Genomic DNA, 20,114 nt, shown 5'->3' on the forward strand with positions numbered 1-20,114 from the left:
GATTTATTTATTTATGCAACAAAAGTTTGGGTGCCAGTTACATGCCAGGCACTATGCTAGCCATGGGTTGGGAGGAACAAGCTACTAAACAAGTAAATAAATCATTACAAATGTATTAAGTATGGTAAAAGGTACTAAACAATGTGGGGTGAAAGGAACTAGGGTGGTGGGAACCTGCTTGCACCTGGGTGGTCAAGGGAGGTTTTTCAAAAAGGCACATAGGAAGCCACCAGTCAAATTTCAGACCAGTTTTTGTGTTTTTCAGTAAAAACTCTGAGGTATGCATCACTTCTAAATTATAAATTATCCTCTGTGAAAGAGCTTTACTAGTAATAAATGAAATTAGAAATAAAGTGTTATAATTGACCTGTTTATTCATTAATCTAACATGAATTAATAGTGACAAGTATATTTTAAAAGATAATGCCCCTTTATTTTTTTAATTTTTAGTTTTTTAGAGACGGTGTATCTCTGTGTTGCTCAGTCTGGTCTTGAACTCCTGTCCTGAAGCAGTCCTCCTGCCTCAGCCTCCCAAGTAGCTGGTATTACAGGTGCAAATCACCATGTCTGGCTGCTTCTCTACAGTCTCATTATCTGAACTTTCTTTCCTAACTAGACCTTAAAGTTTATTTTCATAGTGGGGAAAAACATCTAGCTGTGCTCTGGGGACAAAGAGAGCTGAAAGCTAATTAGAACACGTTCTCCCTTTTCTGCCTCACCTCATTTAGCAACCCTTGTGTCCTGCCCTAAACTGCTTGATGAGGTGATGAGGAGAAAATGTTCTGCTGGATTTCTTTTTGTTTTCTTTTAGCTCCATTCATGATTGTATTGTTTGAAAAATAACATTATAATGAATTTTTATGGTTGGAGGAGGGGGAAGTTGAATTGACTAAAGTATTGATATTTGTTACCAGTATTTTTGAACAGCTAAAGATGTGAAAACTTTAATCCAGTTTGGGGAGGCTGGGAGTTGGTGCTGGGGAAAAGGTTTGGCTGTGTCCCCACCCAAATCTCATCTTGAATTGTAGCTCCCATTATCCCCACATGTTGTGGGAGGGACCAGGTGGGAATAATTGAATCATGGGGGCAATTTCTCCCATCCTGTTCTCAGATAGTGAGTGCTCGCAAGATCTTATGGTTTTATAAGGGGCTTCCCCCTTCCCTGAGCACTGATTCTTCTCTCTCCTGCTGCCATGTGAAGGAGTACATGTTTGCTTCCCCTTTTGCAATGATTGTAAGTTTTCTGAGACCTCCCCAGCCATGCTGAACTGTAAATCTGTTAAACCTCTTTTCTTTATAAATTACCCAGTCTTGGGTATGTCTTTATTAACAGCGCAAGAACAAACTAATACAGTAAATTGGTACCAGAAGTGGGGAAAGAAGTGCAGAGTGTGGGATGGAGAGGTTACTTAGCCTGTGACAAAACCTAGAGTAGGATGTTAGAGCAGGTGAACTGTCCCCACATATTGATCATTAGAGAAATGCAAACCAAAACCACAATGAGATAACACTTAACTCCCATTAGGATGGCTAAAGTTTTTTTTGAAAAGATAACAAATGTTGTCCAGAATGTGGAGAAATTGGAATCCTCATACATTGCTGTTGGGATTGAAAAATGATGTAACCACTTTGGAAAATAGAATGACAGTTCCTCAAAACATTAACCATAACATTCCCATATGACCGAGCAATTCCATTCCTCGGTATAGAGGCTAAAGAATTGGGAACGTATGTCTCCACGTTGTGGGAACGTATGTCTCCACAAAAACCTGTACCCAGGTTTACAGCAGTATTATTTTATAATAAATAGCCAAAAAGTGAAAATAACCCAAATGTCCATTAGTTGATGAATGGGCTAACAAAATGTGGTATATTCATATAATGGAATATTATTTGGCAATTAAAGGGAATGCAGTGCTTGATACATATTAAAACATGAATAAATCTGGAAAACATTATAAATGAGAATAGCCAGGCACAAAAGGCCATATATTGCTTAATTCCATTTTTAGAAATGTCCAGAATGGGAAAATTCATAGAGACAGAAGTAGATTAGTGGTTGCCAGGGACTGGGAGGAAGGGCAGTAGGTAGTGAACTGCTAATGGATACAGGGCTTTTTTGTTTGTTTTTGTTTTTGTGACTTTTTTTTTTTTTTTTTGAAGTGATGAAAATGTTCTGAAATTAGATCGTGGCAATGGGTGTACAATTCTGTGAATTTGTAAGAACTACCAGACAGTACATGTAACAAGGGTGAATTATCCCAGTAAAGAGAAAAAATTATTTCTAGGCATGATGTCATTTAGGTATATAGTGTATTGAGAAATACCTTTTGTATATTGATCATAAAAAGATGTATTCAGTCATTAGGTTAGGACACTCGTCTTTTCCTTTTCTTTTGTAAAAGATAGCTTTTCAGTGTGAATTAAAATAAGCAATTTTTACTGAAAAACTACATTTTATGTTTAAGTAGATAAATTATTATGCCACTTTATAGCGACTCTCTATTGATGATTCAGTCCCCTTAGGTCATGCAGTAAACACTTAGAGCCAGGAGTGAGTGTTTTGTGTTTTGTTTTTACTGCTTTAAGACCCACAGATGGCCTATTAGTTTGTGTTTTTAGAAGAACATTAATTTCTTTTAAAAAGTCTACTGTTTTGTAGTTTTGAGTACACTCGTAGGTATGAGGAAAACCCAAATATTTCTTCTAAATGTTTTGAACAAGTTAATATAGCTATGCTAATATGGAAATATTCAGTGTCTGAGATTTGAAAAAATACTAGACAAAAGCTTTTGTTGTGGGAGATTTGATGTAATGTTTTAATAGCTTAAGAATCGTTTATTATTGTAAATGTATACCCAGTAAGATTACTAGAATTAAATTTATTATTCCAAAGTTTATGACTAACAGATCTGTAATACATTGTTATAATCCAAGTTTTGAGGTTACAAATCATGTAAATTTTTAGACAATCTAAAAATTGTCTGAAGTTTGGAAATTCACATGTTTAGAATGAAACTTGGGGAAAAAAAACCTATGGTGATGACCCCTTTCTTTTATTTTTGAGAAAGTAGTCCCTTATTTTTCAGTAATTGCTCAGTCATTGGTTTTCTACCATAAAGCTGTCAGGGCTGATTTGTTAAGCAAAACTTGAAACAGTTACTATTTCGTAGTGCAAGAAGCACAGACTCTAAATTTTAAAATATTGCATAATTTTTAAAATTCTGACATTTTGTGGGGTTTTTGTTTTGTTTTTACCTTTTGGAAATTTTATTAAAACTGGAAACATTGGGATTTCAATAGTTGATAGCCAGAGGAAGAAGTTGGTAATGCTATTCTTTTCTTTTCTTGCTGCCCTGCCCCCTTTCCCCAGGAAACAAAGCCGGTTTTGTTTCTTGCCTGCTTGTGAGGTCTCTGCTGCACCCCATGTGGGTGCACCGCTCTGTGCTTTGTTGAAAGACTTAAGATACTCAGAAGGTAAAGAACAGGATGCTTCTGGAGAGGAATAAATCCCAGCTTCAGTAGATAAACAAGGTTGTTTGAATTGGTCATTTAAGTGAGTTCTTTCTATGGAAACCTTGTAGTGCTGCTTGTATCCATAGGTAACAACATTTAGGTAAAGCCAAAAGTACTCACAATAGTCATCAGAGTATTTCTCTTACATAATTTTGTGCAAGTTTCTGTTTAATTCTGTGGACTGGTTCTTCCTTCATCTTTTGATATCCTAACTAATTTTTCCTGTTCCGTGGTTTTGAATAGTCAGATAAGCTTAGATTTGAAAAAGACCTTACCAACCAATTCAGTTTGTTGTCAGCATTGGCTATTGTCATTAATGATTACTGCTTTTGGTATCTAATTCTGGGAAACTGGTGAGAAGCAAAGGATATTTACCACTTTATTTTTGTGTAATTTTATTGCTATTCAGTGTTTTTCACCAAGAATGTATGTTATTTCATAAATAACTTAATGTTATGTTACATAATGAAAATATAATGGGGAAAGCTCAAAAGCTTATCCAAATGTTTCTTAATAGATGAAGTATTTAACAGTGTATATAGCTCTAGAATCTGTTTTGAAATCAATCATGTTTTATAATTCCAACACTCCTCAGCTTACTAATGGGCTATTTTCTAGCAGGTTTTTGGTGTTTTGCTTTTTTATTGCTTGGAACCAAAAACACTTTTCCCCAATAGTTGTTTGCCTTGGGCCTCAATTTACGACATGTTCATTGTATGTGATGAATCTCAGATCAGTTCCCCAATTCATATTTAACTCATGCTATCAAACCTGGCACAGCACACTGTATAAAATGTTTCTGTGTGGAAATATGTTGAGTGTTGTATTGAAACACCGAGAAGATGTTTCACCGAAAGAGAAGGATCCTCTTATATCGTTGGCTCAATCTCCACTACCTTTTTTCTATTTAGACCTTGTAGGAAAGAGAAACATGCATATTTTTGTAAATCATAGGAATATTTGGAAACAGTAAATGGTATGATAAAATAGGAGGAGGGAGAGAGAGAATGTATGTGTATGTCTATGTGTTTGTGGAGGAGAAGGAGAGAGGTATAGGAATCATCAAAATATGGAATTCGTCTGTAGGAGTCAGAGTCTTTAGGTTTAGAAAGAAGTTCTGCAGAAGAGAGAGGACTAAGGTTTATGGAGCACCCACTATTCCAGGTGTGTGAGAGAATAATCAGTCCTCATAATAACTCAAATGGAGATGTCAGTATTGATGGTACGGATGAGAAAACCAAGGATTAAGTGAATTACCAAATTAGTATGCCCAACTCTAATCCAAGTTCATTTGACTCTAAAGGCTGTGTTTTTTATGATACCTGTCAATTATGTAACTATGTTTGTTGGTAACAGATAAGAGCAATTTTATTACATGAGGTTGTTGGTGCCTGGCAAATCTTAGGTCCCAAAAATTGTTGGCTTTTTTCGTATCCATTGCCCTATAAAATAATAAACTATAACCTATAAGGATGAAAGTTTTAGCCATTTACTTTTTATAAAGCCATTTCATAAGTCTTCGTGAGTTAATAAATATGTTTTTTTTCCATATGAGATTAATAAGGCTTTGAACAAGCTGGAGCAGTATGTCATGTTTTGACATCCCTTCTCTCTTCTTCCAGACAAAATATTAAAACAAGATAACCAAAAAGACACAACTAGGGTAGGAATTTTTTAAAAATCTCTATAGGTCAGAAAATAAAACCACATGAAGCATTGAGGGTAGTGCTAGAGGCCTGCCAGTTTTAGGGGCCATTTGGCTCCTGAGAAGAACTGTTAATAAAAGTATTAATAAGGAAGAGGACACACAAAACACGCTCAATGGGAAAAGCCAGGCGTGCAGCTGACCTGGCCCTGGCCTAGGACAATGTTTACAAGGATTGACCACTGTCAAGTCACAGAGTCACAAATTGTCTAGAATCAATATTATGTAGACTATGTTTTTTAAACCTCAATGCAACTAAATTTAAACTTATAATAAAAAAGTTAGTTTCAAAAAACATGTCTTGCCCTACCAGCTATTAAAACATACTACTAAAGTTGTACTTTTGTACATATTGTACATACTAAATAATGTTTATATACACATATATACATGTATATAACTTACACGTTTACATAGTATAAACATAAAGGCAGTACTGCCGTACTAGTATAAGAATAGTTAGATTAATAAAATAAAAAATCTGGAAATAACAAAATGTCAGAATTTATTCTATGATAAAGATGAGGGGAAAGATACACAGTTAGCATATGGAAGAAGATAAAATTAGATCCATTCATCCCATACAACAGAAAAAATTGCAGTGGATCAGATTTGAGTTGCCAAGTAAATGAGAACTATAGTTTTTTAATTAAAATGGGTGAATTTCTCTGTAGTTTGAAAGTGAGGAAATGTAATTCAGATTTTTAAAAAGATTGACAAATTTGAGTAAAGAATAAGCTTTTTTTTTTTTTTTTTAGACAAGAGTCTTGCACTTTTTGCCCAGGCTGGAGTGCAATGATGCAATCTCAGCGTGCTGCAACCTCTGCCCCCCGTGTTCAAGTGATTATCGTGCCTCAGCCTCTGGAGTAGCTGGCATTACAGGTGCCTGCCACCACGCCCAGCTAATTTTTATATTTTTAGTAGAGATAGGGTTTCACCATTTTGGTCAGGCTGGTCTCAAACTTCTGACCTCTAGTGATCCGTCTGCCTTGGCCTCCCAAAGTGCTGGGATTACAGGCATGAGCCACCATGCCTGGCTAAGAATAAGTTCTTATGAAAAACAAGCAAAAAGATGACAATCTGAGGAAAATTATTGGTAACTTATATCACAGACACAGATTTCTTATCCTTAGTGTATAGATTGTATAATAAGACATAGCAAAAATAAAATCATACTGAGATACTACTCATCTTTCAGATGGGCAGAAACCCAAAATTGGCAAGTCCTTGGGGGCAAAAAAGCACTCTTACATTACTAGTGAGGATACATCAAAGTACAACTCCTGGGGTGGGGCGGTGGTGTAAATTTGGCGATATCTAGCAAAATTATTTATGCTTTCAACATTCAACTAAGCAATCTCCCGTATAGACATCTACCCAAAGATATAGTAGCAGAAATACAAAATTATGTATGAGCATATTCTGTACAGTACTCTTTACTAATAATGAAAACCTAATAGGAAATTGGTTGAATAGAATATTAACCAGCTATGTCAATAGGAAAATGAGGGAAAATCTCTATATACTGCTTTAGAGTTATCTCAGGATATATTGTTACAAAGGCAAAAGCAAAGTGGAAGGAAGTATGCATAGTATGCTACCATATATCAAAGAAGAAGGGATGTGTGATGTGTATGTGTTTGCTTACATTTTTAAGGGTAGAATAAAGGAAATACTGATACAGTTTACCTGTTACCTATTGGAGGTAGGAGGAAGCGGGTGGGAAATAAAGCAAATCTCTGAAATTCAAAGACAGAATGTCATAAGTACACCTGTATTTCAGGTGGTTGGCTAATTATAGAAGAATAATTTCAGGTGACTTTAAAGCACAGTGATTTTACTTTATGTACTTAATGGAATATCTTAAGGAGATAAAATTGCAAAGAAATCTGAAACTTGAATCATTTTAGTGATCATAATGTTATTTTTAGATGATTGCGTATGTATAGAGGACAATACATATTAATGTTGTTAGAACCCAGTTTTTCAGCATGAGAAAAAACAGTTGTTACAAAATCAAAGTAAAAACCATGCATCCTAAATCTGAATTGGAAATATGCATTTTCTGAAGGAGAGTACCACCTAGAAACAGTTACAAAAAAGCAACAGAATAATAATAGGTACCCCCTAGTACGCAGAGTAATGTCTCTAAATACCATTTCCCACTCAAAGAAATCAGGGCTTCTTCAAAAAAGGCTGAGTAAAATTTGGGGCAGGGAATATACTAGATGACCTTGGAACATCTTTTTGTGCCTAAAAGCAAACAAGGAAGTAGAACAAGCCCATTGTAGCCATAGCAAAAAGATCCAGCTTGACCTGGTCAAATATGGCACACTTTGAACATTGATCAGAATAACTGTGCTGGATTAAAACACATCATAAACATATTTTCAAATCTGTGATTTCATAATGATTTTTTTTCCCTTCGCTCCAGGTAGCAGAGTATCAGAATTATTATTATTTTTTTTTTTTGAGATGGAGTCTCATTCTTTCGCCCAGGCTGGAGTGCAGTGGCGCGGTCTTGGCTCAGTGCAACCTCTGTCTGCCTCCTGGGTTCAAGCCATTCTCCTGCCTCAGCCTCCTGAGTAGCTGGTAGGTACTACAGTCACCCGCCACCACACCTGGCTAATTTTTTTTTTTTTTTTTGGTATTTTTAGTAGAGATGGGGTTTCACCATGTTAGCCCGGATGGTCGTGATCTTCTGACCTCGTGATCCGCCTGTCTCGGCCTCCCCAAGTGCTGGGATTACAGGCGTGAGCCACTGCACCTGGCCGATTTTTTTTTTTTTAAACCCTCATTGGCTACCTTTTGGAGGACTCTGGGACCAACTCATCATCCTGAAAGTGTACACAAAAAGGGAATGAATCAAACATTTATTCTGTATCTTACCTGTACAAATTATGTTTCAGAGTAACCAAATACTTAATATGGGAAAATTCTTATTTATAGAACTTCAAATAATACATGGGAAGGAATGATACCATCATTTTGTAACCTCTAATGAAATAATGGGTTTAGGTTTAAAAAAATCAGTGGTTGCTAAAAACCATTGGGTGAAAATAACCTAAAATGGATATAATAAGTTTACCACATCTGCACCACTGATTCATCCTTATCATGAAGACAGTCATCTTGTGCCTTCTCTCCTCATGTAGTGCCACCAATGAAGTATTCTTGCCAAAAATTGTGATCAGGCCTCTATATTCGAACTTGTTTACAGCAAACCAAGAAATGGAAAAGCATGCTGCATAGTACTATGGGGATGCAATGAGCAAAGTCCAGGTTGTAGAAGATTCTTTGAGGCAAATGACACAGTTTCTTTGACAAATAAATGACAAAGAAAAAACCAAGGGGGAACCTGTGTATTAAAACAGTGGTCCTCAGAGCGCTGGCATGAATCAAAAGTCACTGGGAGGGCTTGTCAAAACACAGATTGCTGGCTTCATCCCGTAGTTTCTCATTCATTAGCCCTGGGTTAGGGCCCATGAATTTGCATTTCTAAAACGCTGCTAGGTGCTCTTCCTCCTGATGATCCAGAAACCACAGAACCATGTTATTAAAGAAGTCTTGGATTATGAATCAAATACAATGTATGGACCTTGTTTGGATTCTGTTTTGAACAAGCCAATTGTAAAAATAACAATAATTCCCTTGATAATAGGGAAATGTAGACATGGGATGGACTTTTGATAATATTAAGGAATTGGTAAATTTTGATAGTGTAATCATGGTATTGTAATTATATTTTTCTTTTTTTAAAGAAGGCCCTGTCTTTTTAGAAATACATGTTAAAATTATGGGTAAAATGCTATATTGTTTGCTTGAAAATAATTGGCGCTGAAAAGTAGTTGAGGATAGAGGTAAAAGAGATTGGCCATGTATTAACAATTGGGAAGAAAGCGAGTGATGAGTACACAAGGATTCATTATCTGTATTAATTTTTCTACTTTTCTATGTTTATGGAAATTACCTTCAAAATGTAAAATATATGTTTGGAAACATAAAAATATATTCCAAAATAGCTCATGAATTAAATGTAAGTCACCATAGAAATTACACGTTTTTTGGAATAGAACAGTCATGAATTATACTATTTCAAAACATGTGGGATGCAGGTAAAGCAGGACTTAAGGGTAAGTTTATTGACTTAAGTCTTCCAAAAAAAGATGTAAATGAATTAAGTTCAATTCAAAAGTTAGAAAATGAAACACAGAAAAGCTGGAGGGAAAAAGAACAGAAAAAATAGAAATAAGTTAATAATGCAGTCATCTTTTATTAACAGGTAGCTGAGAAGATTGGATTGAACTAAGGCATTATTCTGAGGGAGGTTGGTCTGTAATATTCCTCTCTTTAATATCCTTGGTTCTGTCTCGGTGCTGTGCTAGCCTGATAGAAGAATTGGGCAGTCTTGAGCCAGGTATGATGCTCGCCTGCAGTCTCAGCTGCTTGAGAGACAGACAGTAGGATTGTTTGAAGCCAGGCATTTGAGACCAGCCTAGGCAACATAGTAAGACAGAAAAGGGGAAAAAAAAAAAAAAAGGTGTGCTAATGTAAAGAGAAATTAAAAGTAGGACTTCTGTTGTCTTAAATAGTTTCTGCCTCAGTGAGTAACTACTCAACTTATGTAGAAATGGCTCAGTATTTTTTCAGCGCACACTTTGTGCCAGATGCTGTGCTAGGTATTGAGGACACATAGATGACTACGATATGACCCATACTCCTGTGGCACTCAGTCTGAGGGAGCATATAAATTTGTAAGTAAAAAATTAGAATCAGGCAATAAATGTCAGTAGACAATATGGAAAAGTTCCCAGGCAATTCCTTGAGAGAAGAAAATTCTTAATGTATAGGATGGGCCCAGCCTTGTGAGGTTTTGCTCAAGTAGTCTCCAAGAAGAAATGGCATTTACCAAGCAGCCAGTCTGTTATAATGGGACACATTAAAAATCACAAGGAGTTTGCTGTGTGACTGGGAGACCATTAAGTTATAAGAGCTGTCAGTGTATGTTATTTAGGATTTTTGTAGCAAGGTTTATATGAGAGATTGGCCTGTAATTTTCCTTTCTTTTAATATCCTTGTATGGTATCAAGGTTATGCTGGCCTTATAAGTGTTGGAAAGTATTCTTTCCTTGTTATGCTCTGGAAGAGGCTGTGTAAGACTGGTATTATTTCTTCCTTGAATGACTGCAAAGCCATTGGGACCTGGGGTTTTCTTTAGTCAATGTGTACTAAACATTTAGTAGAAACAGTGACCCAAAATTTCAACTTAAGTTGAATATGTATCTGAAAAGGTTTATTATTCTTACTAACATTTTCACATAAAACTTCCCTCTGCTCACTGAGGTTAATTCACAGTTTGATCAGTGTTGTATCAGTGACAGAAATTCACTAGTATAAAAACCCAGTCCATTTCTAACCACCAAATGGTGTATTACAGCTTCAAAAAAAAATTTTTTTTTTTTTACTACCTAGGCTTTGTGCTGGGGGTTACCATGGTGTCAAATGAGACAAATCCATGTCATCCAGATACTTGTGGACTCAATTTGATATGAGCAAGCATCAGATCATTTTAATCTACTTGCTTTATTGGGATGTGTATGTGGATATATTAAGGGCTGATTATTTTGATGGGCTTTGCTGTTTGGAATGCTTTGTCTTAATTTTTGTGGATGAATTTTTAATTTATATATTTCATAAGAAGTAATGAATTTGCATCATTCACACTTCAGAAGTTATAAATAAGGTTCTCCACCTTTGTCCTTTAGTCACCCAGTTTCCCATCTCTGGAGCCAAAAGATGTTAGTTGCTTCTTAGCTATTCATCAATTTTTATATCCTCTGAATATGCAATATATTCACCCCCGCTCCCTTCCCCCACCCCGTTTTTTTTAAACACTTTCTCTTCTGCACCTTGCTTTTAATTTAGTAAGTCCTTAGAAACTGTTCCTTATTGCATGTTAAAACTACGTCTTGTTTCTTTTCTCTTATGACTTCCTTGTATCTTGTGACAACAGTAATAATAAATTAATGTAGTCATTGTGATATTGATGGATTTTTAGGTTATTTCCAGTCTTCCTGCCCAAAAAAGTTACATCGAATATCCCAAATTGCTTTTGAATAATTAAATCATCATTTTATCTTCCTTCACTAGTTTTTTAGGACAGATTTTTTTTTTCTTTTCATTTCAGCCATGAACCAGAGAATCAGTCAGAGTGCTCCAGTGAAACAGCCACCACCCCTGGCTCCCCAGAGCCCACAGGGAGGCGTCATGGGTGGCAGCAACTCCAACCAGCAGCAACAGATGCGACTGCAGCAACTGCAGATGGAGAAGGAGAGGCTGCGGCTGAAACAGCAAGAACTGCTTCGGCAGGTGAGGCCACAGGTTAGAAACCAGCCTTCCACTTTTGGGGGTTTGTTTTCTTAAAGTTGGGCAGATTTCATTTTAACATTTATTAGTTACAGAGGAATGTTGTCTTTGTAAAACTGAGTGACACAGAAGCATTCTATCCAGCCCTGTCCTTGTCTTAGTTTTGTGACTGTGAATGGCCTTTGATCAAGTTACAAGGGATGTGACTTGGAAACCTGTATCATGAAGAGCTGTTTTGGTCATGGTCATTGCAATTGAGCAAAAATTGAAGGAAGCAAGGATGCTTTCTCTAATGTACATGGAATTGTGGATTGCTGTTTTTCTGAGGATTTCACTAAAGGGGAAATTCTAGAACATCACTCAGGAGAAAACATCCTTTATTAATAACTTACGTGGCGGGATACACCAATATGACATTTCTCAAATGACAAATATACTTCGGTATTACCGAATCTAAGAATTTTCATTGAAAACAAAATAAATGTTACCTTTGGCCAGGTGCGGTGGCTCATGCCTGTAATCCCAGCACTTTGGGAGGCCAGGGTGGGCAGATCACTTGAGGCCAGTTCAAGACAAGCCTGGCCAACTTAGCGAAACCCCATCTCTACTAAAAATAAAAAAATTAGCCAAGCGTGGTGGCACACACCTGTAATCTCAACTTCTCAGGAGGCTGAGGCACAAGAATCACTTGAGCTTCGGAGGCAGAGGTTCGGTGAGCCAAGATTGTGCCACCGCACTCAAGCCTGGGTGACAGAGTGAGATTCTGTCTCAAAAACAAAAAGTTATCTTCAAGTTTAGAAGATGCCAGTGTGCTTTAAAATTACCTGCTTATGGATGTTTTTTTATTTTGGGGAAAGTAGGACATAGTAGAGAGCTTTGAAGCCCTTTAATCACCAATTCCATCAGCTTTCTTCCAGAAGGTACTGTTGGTTTTTATGTTCCTAATATATATAATTAATCTCAACATTAATTTTTACTTTATCTTATTTCAGAGTGGTTAAATCTACTAAGTTCAGATATTGGAGATAAGGTCTTTTGTTAAGTAGCGTAGATATTTTTAAATTTCCATATAAAATTTTTTTGAATAGATAATAGAAAAATGGTATACTAGTGATAGATGTACAGAGGTGAAAGTACACTCAAAATAAGATCTTTTCCCTGTTTTTCTAGTTCTCTCCTATGGGGCCTAAATAACTATGAGTTTCTTAGGTTTTTTGTTTTTTGTTAATTTTTCCAGAGATACTCTGTTTACATACATAAAATACATGTATCTGTGCCATTTTTTCCCTAGCTAAATCACAGCATGCTAAGTATAGACATTTAAAAATCGTCATACTCGGCCAGGCATGGTGGCTCATGCCTCTAATCCCAACACTTTGGGAGGCCGAGGCAGGAGGTTTGCTTGAGCCCAGGAGTTCGAAACCAGCCTGGGCAACATGGCGAGACTCTGTCTCTTAAAAAAAAAAAAAGCTCTACATTTCTGTTACCAGGAAGGAGGCACCTAAAGGTCTGTTTTTTGTTTTTTGGGTTTTTTTTAGGGCTGTATTTTAAAAGTATCTCTTGAGTGTCAGTGAAAATATGTGAACTCAGTACTACCTGAACTCTGATTTGGGGTTTGAGGAATTGGTACTTCAGGAGTTAAATTAAGCCATGGCATCTGAGACAGGCTCACGTTGAAACTGTGCTTTGTCGGTAATCTGTCCATACAATTCTAGTGTGATTGGCATCAAAGGTAAACCCTGATAGAAGGAGTAAGACAGTATGTGCCAACATACGATGTCAGGAACTTGTTGGGGCTCAGAAAATGATACTCCAAAATATGGTTCTTTGACAAACTAAGGAAGCAGCCTCAAGTTCTATGCCAAAGCACAGGATGAGGCTGTTCCTTGAAGTTCCTTTATCTGCCTAGAAACCAGACCCACCAAAAGGAATACAATTGCCTTTGATCCCCTCCTCAAAATTTCATTAACCAGAGAAGCCTGAAACTTGTATGACAGAGGAAAAGACTAAAAATTAAATATCACACCTAGAGAGCTCAGAGGAACTTTGCCCAGACTATTGTCTGTTCTCAGATCCCATTCAGTTTCCAAAGAGAATTATTTACTAACCATTGTCTGTGTACTGGGCCCATTCATTCTTCCTAAAAATCATTTACTGCCCTTCAAAATGGCGTCATTTCCCTCATGTCCCCTTCCCCTGTGAAGAAGGGTATTATATAGTATCTGGAACTCACTTGGTTATTGGGTAATAATTGTCTTGCAATTTCCCCCATGCTTATGCACCTTAAATAAATTTGTTTGCCATTTTCTCCTGTTAATTTGTCTATTATCAGTTCATTTTCAGCGAACCTTTAGAGGGTAGAGGGGAAGTTTTCCTTTTGGCCCCTATAAAGTGATCTTGAAAGAAATGTTTCTTTATCTGACATAAAAAAGGATGGAGAAAGGAAGCATTATTGTACCTCTGACTTTCTAACAAATTACCATAAAGGAAGAATATTTTTCGTCTACTATTGTTAGAACACCTTAGAACCATCAAAAATATAATTACATGGCTAATAGAAAAAAAAAGAGCAGTTTTAAAATATGTTTTATGTAACCTATTTTCATTGTTTTTCATTTTGTTGTTGCCGAGTAGTAGTTGTTCTAAGTAAATACAGGTCTCAATTTCACTATGAATAAAAACTGTCAAAATCAAGAAACTAAAAAAAAAGTTCTTTAATTACTAATGTCAAAACCATACTGTTTTTAAGATAATTTGTAAAGTCTAGAAATGGGGCCATTCGCCATTTTGTTTTATGCCATAGATCATCCTGGGGTTTTTTGGTGGGCAAATGCTGCTATTTGTAAAACTCTTCCTTCCAAAGATTTTCCTAAATCTTTATTCTCAAACTTACTCTGGGTGATGGGTCCTGGACAGAATAGCTTCACTTCCTTTAAAGGTAACTTCTTTGTTTCATCTTTACTGCCTACTGTGTCGTCTTTTCTTATGTTGAAGTTGACAGACCTGCTCTATTCTCATACTAATAGACTATTTTTAGATTTTTTTAAAGTAATCACAATAAATTCAGTATATCTTAAGTCTTTTGGCTTCCTGTGAACTTCTTCCCTTGACAGTTTATCTTAGCACTGAAACATCAAATATATTGTATCTGCTTTATCTAATACTCAGAAACAAAGAACCTACGTGACCAATATCAAATTTTATTTTTTAGTTCTGACTCCTAAAGTCTTGCTGTCCTATCCTCAATGCTGTTAAAAACTTCTGAGGTTCCAGTTTTGTTATGTGGTGACTCCATTGGCTCCTGTCTTCGTCAGTCTGCTTCTTCTTGGGTAGCTTGGGAATTCTGTGCTATGGTGATATGTCTGGATACAATTTGTAAGTCAGCCTACACAGCCAGACCATGTGGCTTAAAGTAATTTTTATCCGTCTTATTTTTTACTCTTAGGCAATGCGGAATATCAATCCCAGCACAGCAAATTCTCCAAAATGTCAGGTAGGCTCTTATCTGATGTTTTAGCACTGGAAAAAAAAAAAAAAAGATATTAAATTAGGAAAGAGAAACTTACATTCCAGGGTCCTGTCCTTATTGGACATTAGCCCAGAGAATAACTTTGAGCCATCTTTCTACCAAGATACTCAGGTTAACATTGCCCTTCCAAGAAAGTCTACACAGTCTGCTCCCTCCCTGCTCCTCCTAGGGAGTTTCTGTTTATTTTGATTCCATGGAGGTCTTTTTTATTCTATATTTAAATGTATTGTGTCTCAGTTGTACATCCTATCAGCTAGGTATGCCTAATTTTTATTTGAATAGCTTAAAATAGTATGTGTAATGATTTAAAGGAATTAATAAATTGAACAGTAACAAAAGCAGTATTTACTTGGATAGGCTACTTTAGGAAATTTTAGAGTCATGATACTATGAGGAAGAGAAAAATTCTTTCTAGTGGACATTCCAAAGGAAAAATATCAAAATTATCAGGAGAGTATCTGCCTGGATAGTGTTTCAGGTTTTCTTGTTGGCTTTTATCAGCATTCTCTGATGAACCCCAGGGAGCCCTGGTTGTGAAGGCATCTTATTTAGAAGGAAAGATTGTGGCCAATTTTTCTTCTAACACAGGCACTTGTCTGACTCGTGGGAAGAATCTCGTTCTTAAAACCAAAAAGATTTTAGGTGTTTGAGGTCCACAAGATTAGAAGAAATTCGGAGCCAGAGGATCATTCTACTTCTCTTGGGGCAGAAGCAACCATATAATGCCTCACCTTCTATGTAACTTACTCTGCACTATGCTAAATAAGTACATTGTTTTAGAATCTGCTGTAGAAGTAGGAGTTGGCAAAATTCTACTCATTTTGGATACTGTTAAGTTGTCCGTTGGAGCACCATGATGATAAAAGTCAGATACAGTCTTCATAGAAACCAGTTAATTTTGTGAGAGGGAAAATCTCTATTCTTCTTTATCTATCTCATAAATGCCACCATTAATCAAAAGACCAAGCAAGGGATAACTCAATAATAAGCCATCTTCACCAAAGTTGAGCATAGACATTCTTATGATGAGGGGGCACTAATATACCATTTGACTGTGAAGTGCAGGATAGCATTGGGTCTTTATAACGTGAAGCCATTTTTTTCTTTGCCATTTCTCTGAAGTGTTTGTTTTGTTTTGTCTTTTTGTTTTTGTTTTTTGTTTTTGTTTTTGAGATGGAGTTTCGCTCTGTTGCCGAGGCTGGAGTGCAGTGGTGTGATCTCGGCTCACTGCAAGCTCCGCCTTCCGGGTTCACACCATTCTCCTGCCTCAGCCTCCCAAGTAGCTGGGACTACAGGCGCCCGCCACCATGCCCAGCTAATTCTTTTTGAATTTTTTAGTAGAGACGGGGTTTCACAGTGTTAGCCAGGATGGTCTCGATCTCCTGACCTCGTGATCCGCCCACCTCAGCCTCCCAAATTGCTGGGATTACAGGCGTGAGCCACCACGTCTGGCCTGAAGTGTTTCTGAAAGAAGAATTTTATTCATGATAAATGAAATAGAAACTAATATAGGAGCAGAAATTAACTCAAAGGAGATTTGGATTCAGGTAAAAAGTCCTCCATGCCAAAAAAATGTTGAAATTGTTTCCTTTTTTCCCAAGGTCTTATACCCTGAATCTGATAAATAAGTCAAATTCTTCTTGATCTTTGTTTCATACTTGAATAGAAAAGTAAATCTTTACTGTTATTAAAATTATCAGGAATTCTTAGATTTTTTAAAATAGTAAAGTTTTAGAAAAGGTGAGGCTTATTAGTAGTAAAGCTTCTAAGATACGAAGATTAGAGGTAATTACTCAGATTTGCCCAGACCAGAGCAAAAAACTTGAAAGAGGTTTTTAAAAATCTTCTTTGCATATGCTGGAGATTAAAATATTGGTTTGTTATATATGCTTTAGTTGTCAGTGTTTAATATTTACCTGGCATAATTGTGGAAAGTTATCAGTAAATGTATGAAATTCAAGTATAGGGTTATATTTGAAATAGATCAAGAAATCTGGTGGTATTTGTATCAAGAAAGCATGTGTATATTTTTCTCATCCTATTATTTTCTAAATAACCTTAAGGTAGATGTCAGGAAATAGATCACAAAGAAGAGTCATGTCTTTTCTTCTTTTTTTTTTTGAGATGGAGTCTTGCTCTGTCACCCAGGCTGGAGTGCAGTGGCGCAATCTCAGCTCACTGCAACCTCCACCTCCCAGGTTCAAGCAATTCTCCTGCCTCAGCCTCCTGAGTGGCTGTGATTACAGGTGCCTGCCACTACGCCCAGCTAATTTTTTGTGTTTTTAGTAGAGACGGGGTTTCACCATGTTATCCAGGATGGTCTCCACCTCCTGACCTCATGATTCGCCTGCCTCGGCCTCCCAAAGCACTGGTATTACAGGCGTGAGCCACCGCGCCCAGCCAGAAGAGTCATATCTTAAGTGAAGATGGCTTTAAATAGTGTTTCTCAGAATAATCAAGAAAGCTAGAAAGGACTTTTCAGCCCCAAAGAACAGAGGGTATAAAGACATCACTCAGTATCTGAACACTAGACGCTGTTGTAAAGTTACTGGGTTTTTAACTTATACTTTGTAATAGATATTAATGCAGCTGAGTTAGCAAGCAATAGTGAGATCAGTGTCATTTTCTAATCGTATACCTCATATGCTGTGGGATGTGGAAAGCCACTAAACTTCAAAATGCTTATGAATTACTACAGAAGCTGTCTTTAAGTACTTCCTATAGGATTTAACATATCATGTGGCTGTTGTAGGGTGCTGTGCTCGTGTACACTAACGTCAGTATGGGTGAGGTTAATGAAAAATTCCAAGATCCATGGCCCAAGTGATATTGAAATGTAAAATTTTGAAAAAACTTTAAAGGCATTTATATATCTTCTTAGTTAAATATGGAAATTATCACCTTAATTTATTATACTATGTTGGCAGGATTTTGGAAAAATTCATCCTTACAGAGCTTAACTTTTTATTTTTATTTTTATTTTTATTTTTATTTTTATTTTGAGACGGAGTTTTGCCCTTGTCGCCCAGGTTGGAGTGCAATGGCATGATCTCTGCTCACCGCAACCTCTGCCTCCCGGGTTCAAATGATTCTGCCTCAGCCTCCCAAGTAGCTGGGATTACAGGCATTCGCCACCATGCCCGGCTAATTTTGTGTTTTTGGTAGAGACAGGGTTTCTCCATGTTGGTCAGCCTGGTCTTGAACTCCCAACCTCAGGTGATCTGCCCACCTCGTCCTCCCAAAGTTCTGGGATTACAGGCATGAGCCACCACACCCTGCCAAAGAGCTTAACATTTTAATTTCATTTTGGTTACTTATGATTTTTATGTTTCAAAAGCAATTTCCATTCTCAGAAGAAACTTTCTGAAACTGTAAACATCTTTGCTTTGTGAGATTGAGCAGTTAATGCTATTTTCTAGTCATATCTCTGTTACACATCAGTGCTCACTTGTAAATTGGAGAGACCTTTTGAGCAAGTGGGTTTAGGAATGCACTCTAGCTTCTGTTTTAAGGTCTTTTGAGAGAAGAACTTTGAGGAAAGATAGTCCCCCCTGAGGTGCGAACACTTCTACCTTCTCTTGTGCTTAAGAATATGGTTCTTGGACTGGGGGCGGTGGCTCACGCTTGTAATCCCAGCACTTTGGGAGGCCAAGGCGGGTGGATCACCTGAAGTCAGGAGTTTGAGACCAGCCTGGTCAACATGGTGAAACCCGTCTCTACTAAAAATACGGAAATTAGCTGGATGTGGTGGGGCGGGCGCCTTTAATCCCAGCTGCTCAGGAGGCTGAGGAGGGAGAATCGCCTGAACCTGGGAGGCAGAGGTTGCAGTGAGCCAAGATCGTGGCATTGCACTCCAGCCTGGCGAAAAGAGCAAAACTCCGTCTTGAAAAAAAGAAAAAGAATTTGGTTCTTAATATCTGGGGTTCCCTAGTACCTATGAGATCGAGTTTAAACTCTGCAACTGGCTCATGGTCTGTGGTCAGTAGCCTTTTCACTCACTGGTTCCAGTTAAGCCAGTAACTCTTCCATTATTAGCTAAGTGTACTCCACTGCCTTGTTGCTGTTATTCTGCTCACAAGCTTTTCCCCATAGTGAGAACCTTGCTTATCCCCTTTCTTACCAGTAAAGATTCTTCATTTCTGTTTTAAGGCTTAGGGTGAGATTCATTCCCAAGTGCCCTTATGAGAATTCTTGAGGCAGGGCACAGTGGCTCACGCCTGTAATCCCAGCACTTTGAGAGGCCGAGGCAGGCAAATGACCTGAGGTCAGAAGTCCGAGACCTGCCTGGCCAATATGGTGAAAGTCCATCTCTACTAAAAACGGAAAAATTAGCTGGGCTTGGTGGCATGCACCTGTAGTCCCAGCTACTCAGGAGGCTGAGGTGGGAGGATGGCCTGAGTCTGGGAGGCAGCGGTTCAGTGAGCTGAGATCATGCCACTACACTCCAGCCTGGGTGACAGAGTGAGACTCTGCCTCAAAAAAAGAAAATTAGAGAATTCTTGAAACTACCCAGAAATAAAAACAACACTGCTGTATAAAGATGTCTTAACTCAGTAGCCAGTATAATTCCAATTTAGGTGGTCAAAAGTATGATATGGGGTTACTTTCATTTCTGGGCAAGTAATTGCTTCAATCTGTATAGAAATTACAGTATAAATATTTGGCAACTACTGAATAATGTGTAGTTGCCATTCCTTATAGGTGGTAATGAATAGACACCAAGGTCAGTCCCTGGTTTAATGAATAATAAAGCCCACAGTATTGCTGATGAGGATATTATACTGCACCATTACCTCTCAACAGTGAAGAGGTTCAGATGTTCACAGTTGTAGTTAATGAGAACAAAATAATACCATTGTTCAGAGCTATATGAAAACAATTGCCAACAACCATTTTTTTCCTGAATTTAGTAAAAGTAAAGTATTTGGCTTTTTTCCCTTCAAACTGTCTTTCATGTTAGCTGTTTCAAAATCCTGTTAACACTTGTCTAACGTTATC

General features: G+C 37.3%; 1 protein-coding gene across 14 annotated transcripts in view, besides 1 other annotated feature; it reads left to right on the forward strand.

Annotated features, from left to right (window-relative positions):
* Positions 1 to 20,114, forward strand: part of YAP1 (Yes1 associated transcriptional regulator) — a 122,978-nt gene that overhangs the window by 84,038 nt on the left and 18,826 nt on the right. For 4 of the 14 annotated variants that reach the window (XM_005271378.4, NM_001282101.2, NM_001282099.2 and 1 more), the window contains 2 exons: positions 11,409 to 11,602; positions 15,033 to 15,080. In XM_005271378.4, the coding sequence (XP_005271435.1) occupies positions 11,409 to 11,602; positions 15,033 to 15,080 (242 nt within the window). The remainder of the gene's footprint in view (positions 1 to 11,408; positions 11,603 to 15,032; positions 15,081 to 20,114) is intronic. The other 10 variants (XM_005271380.4, NM_001130145.3, NM_001282097.2 and 7 more) reach the window with 3 other exon arrangements.
* Positions 3,274 to 3,568: an enhancer, noted in NCBI's record as "tiled region #8516; K562 Activating non-DNase unmatched - State 24:Quies". NCBI's record gives its function as "activates a minimal TATA promoter and a strong SV40 promoter by Sharpr-MPRA in K562 cells {active_cell/tissue: K562}" and the evidence as "EXISTENCE:reporter gene assay evidence [ECO:0000049][PMID:27701403]".

Source organism: Homo sapiens, chromosome 11 (genome assembly GCF_000001405.40).
Source record: "Homo sapiens chromosome 11, GRCh38.p14 Primary Assembly".
In the NCBI taxonomy this organism is placed as follows: Eukaryota; Metazoa; Chordata; class Mammalia; order Primates; family Hominidae; genus Homo; species Homo sapiens.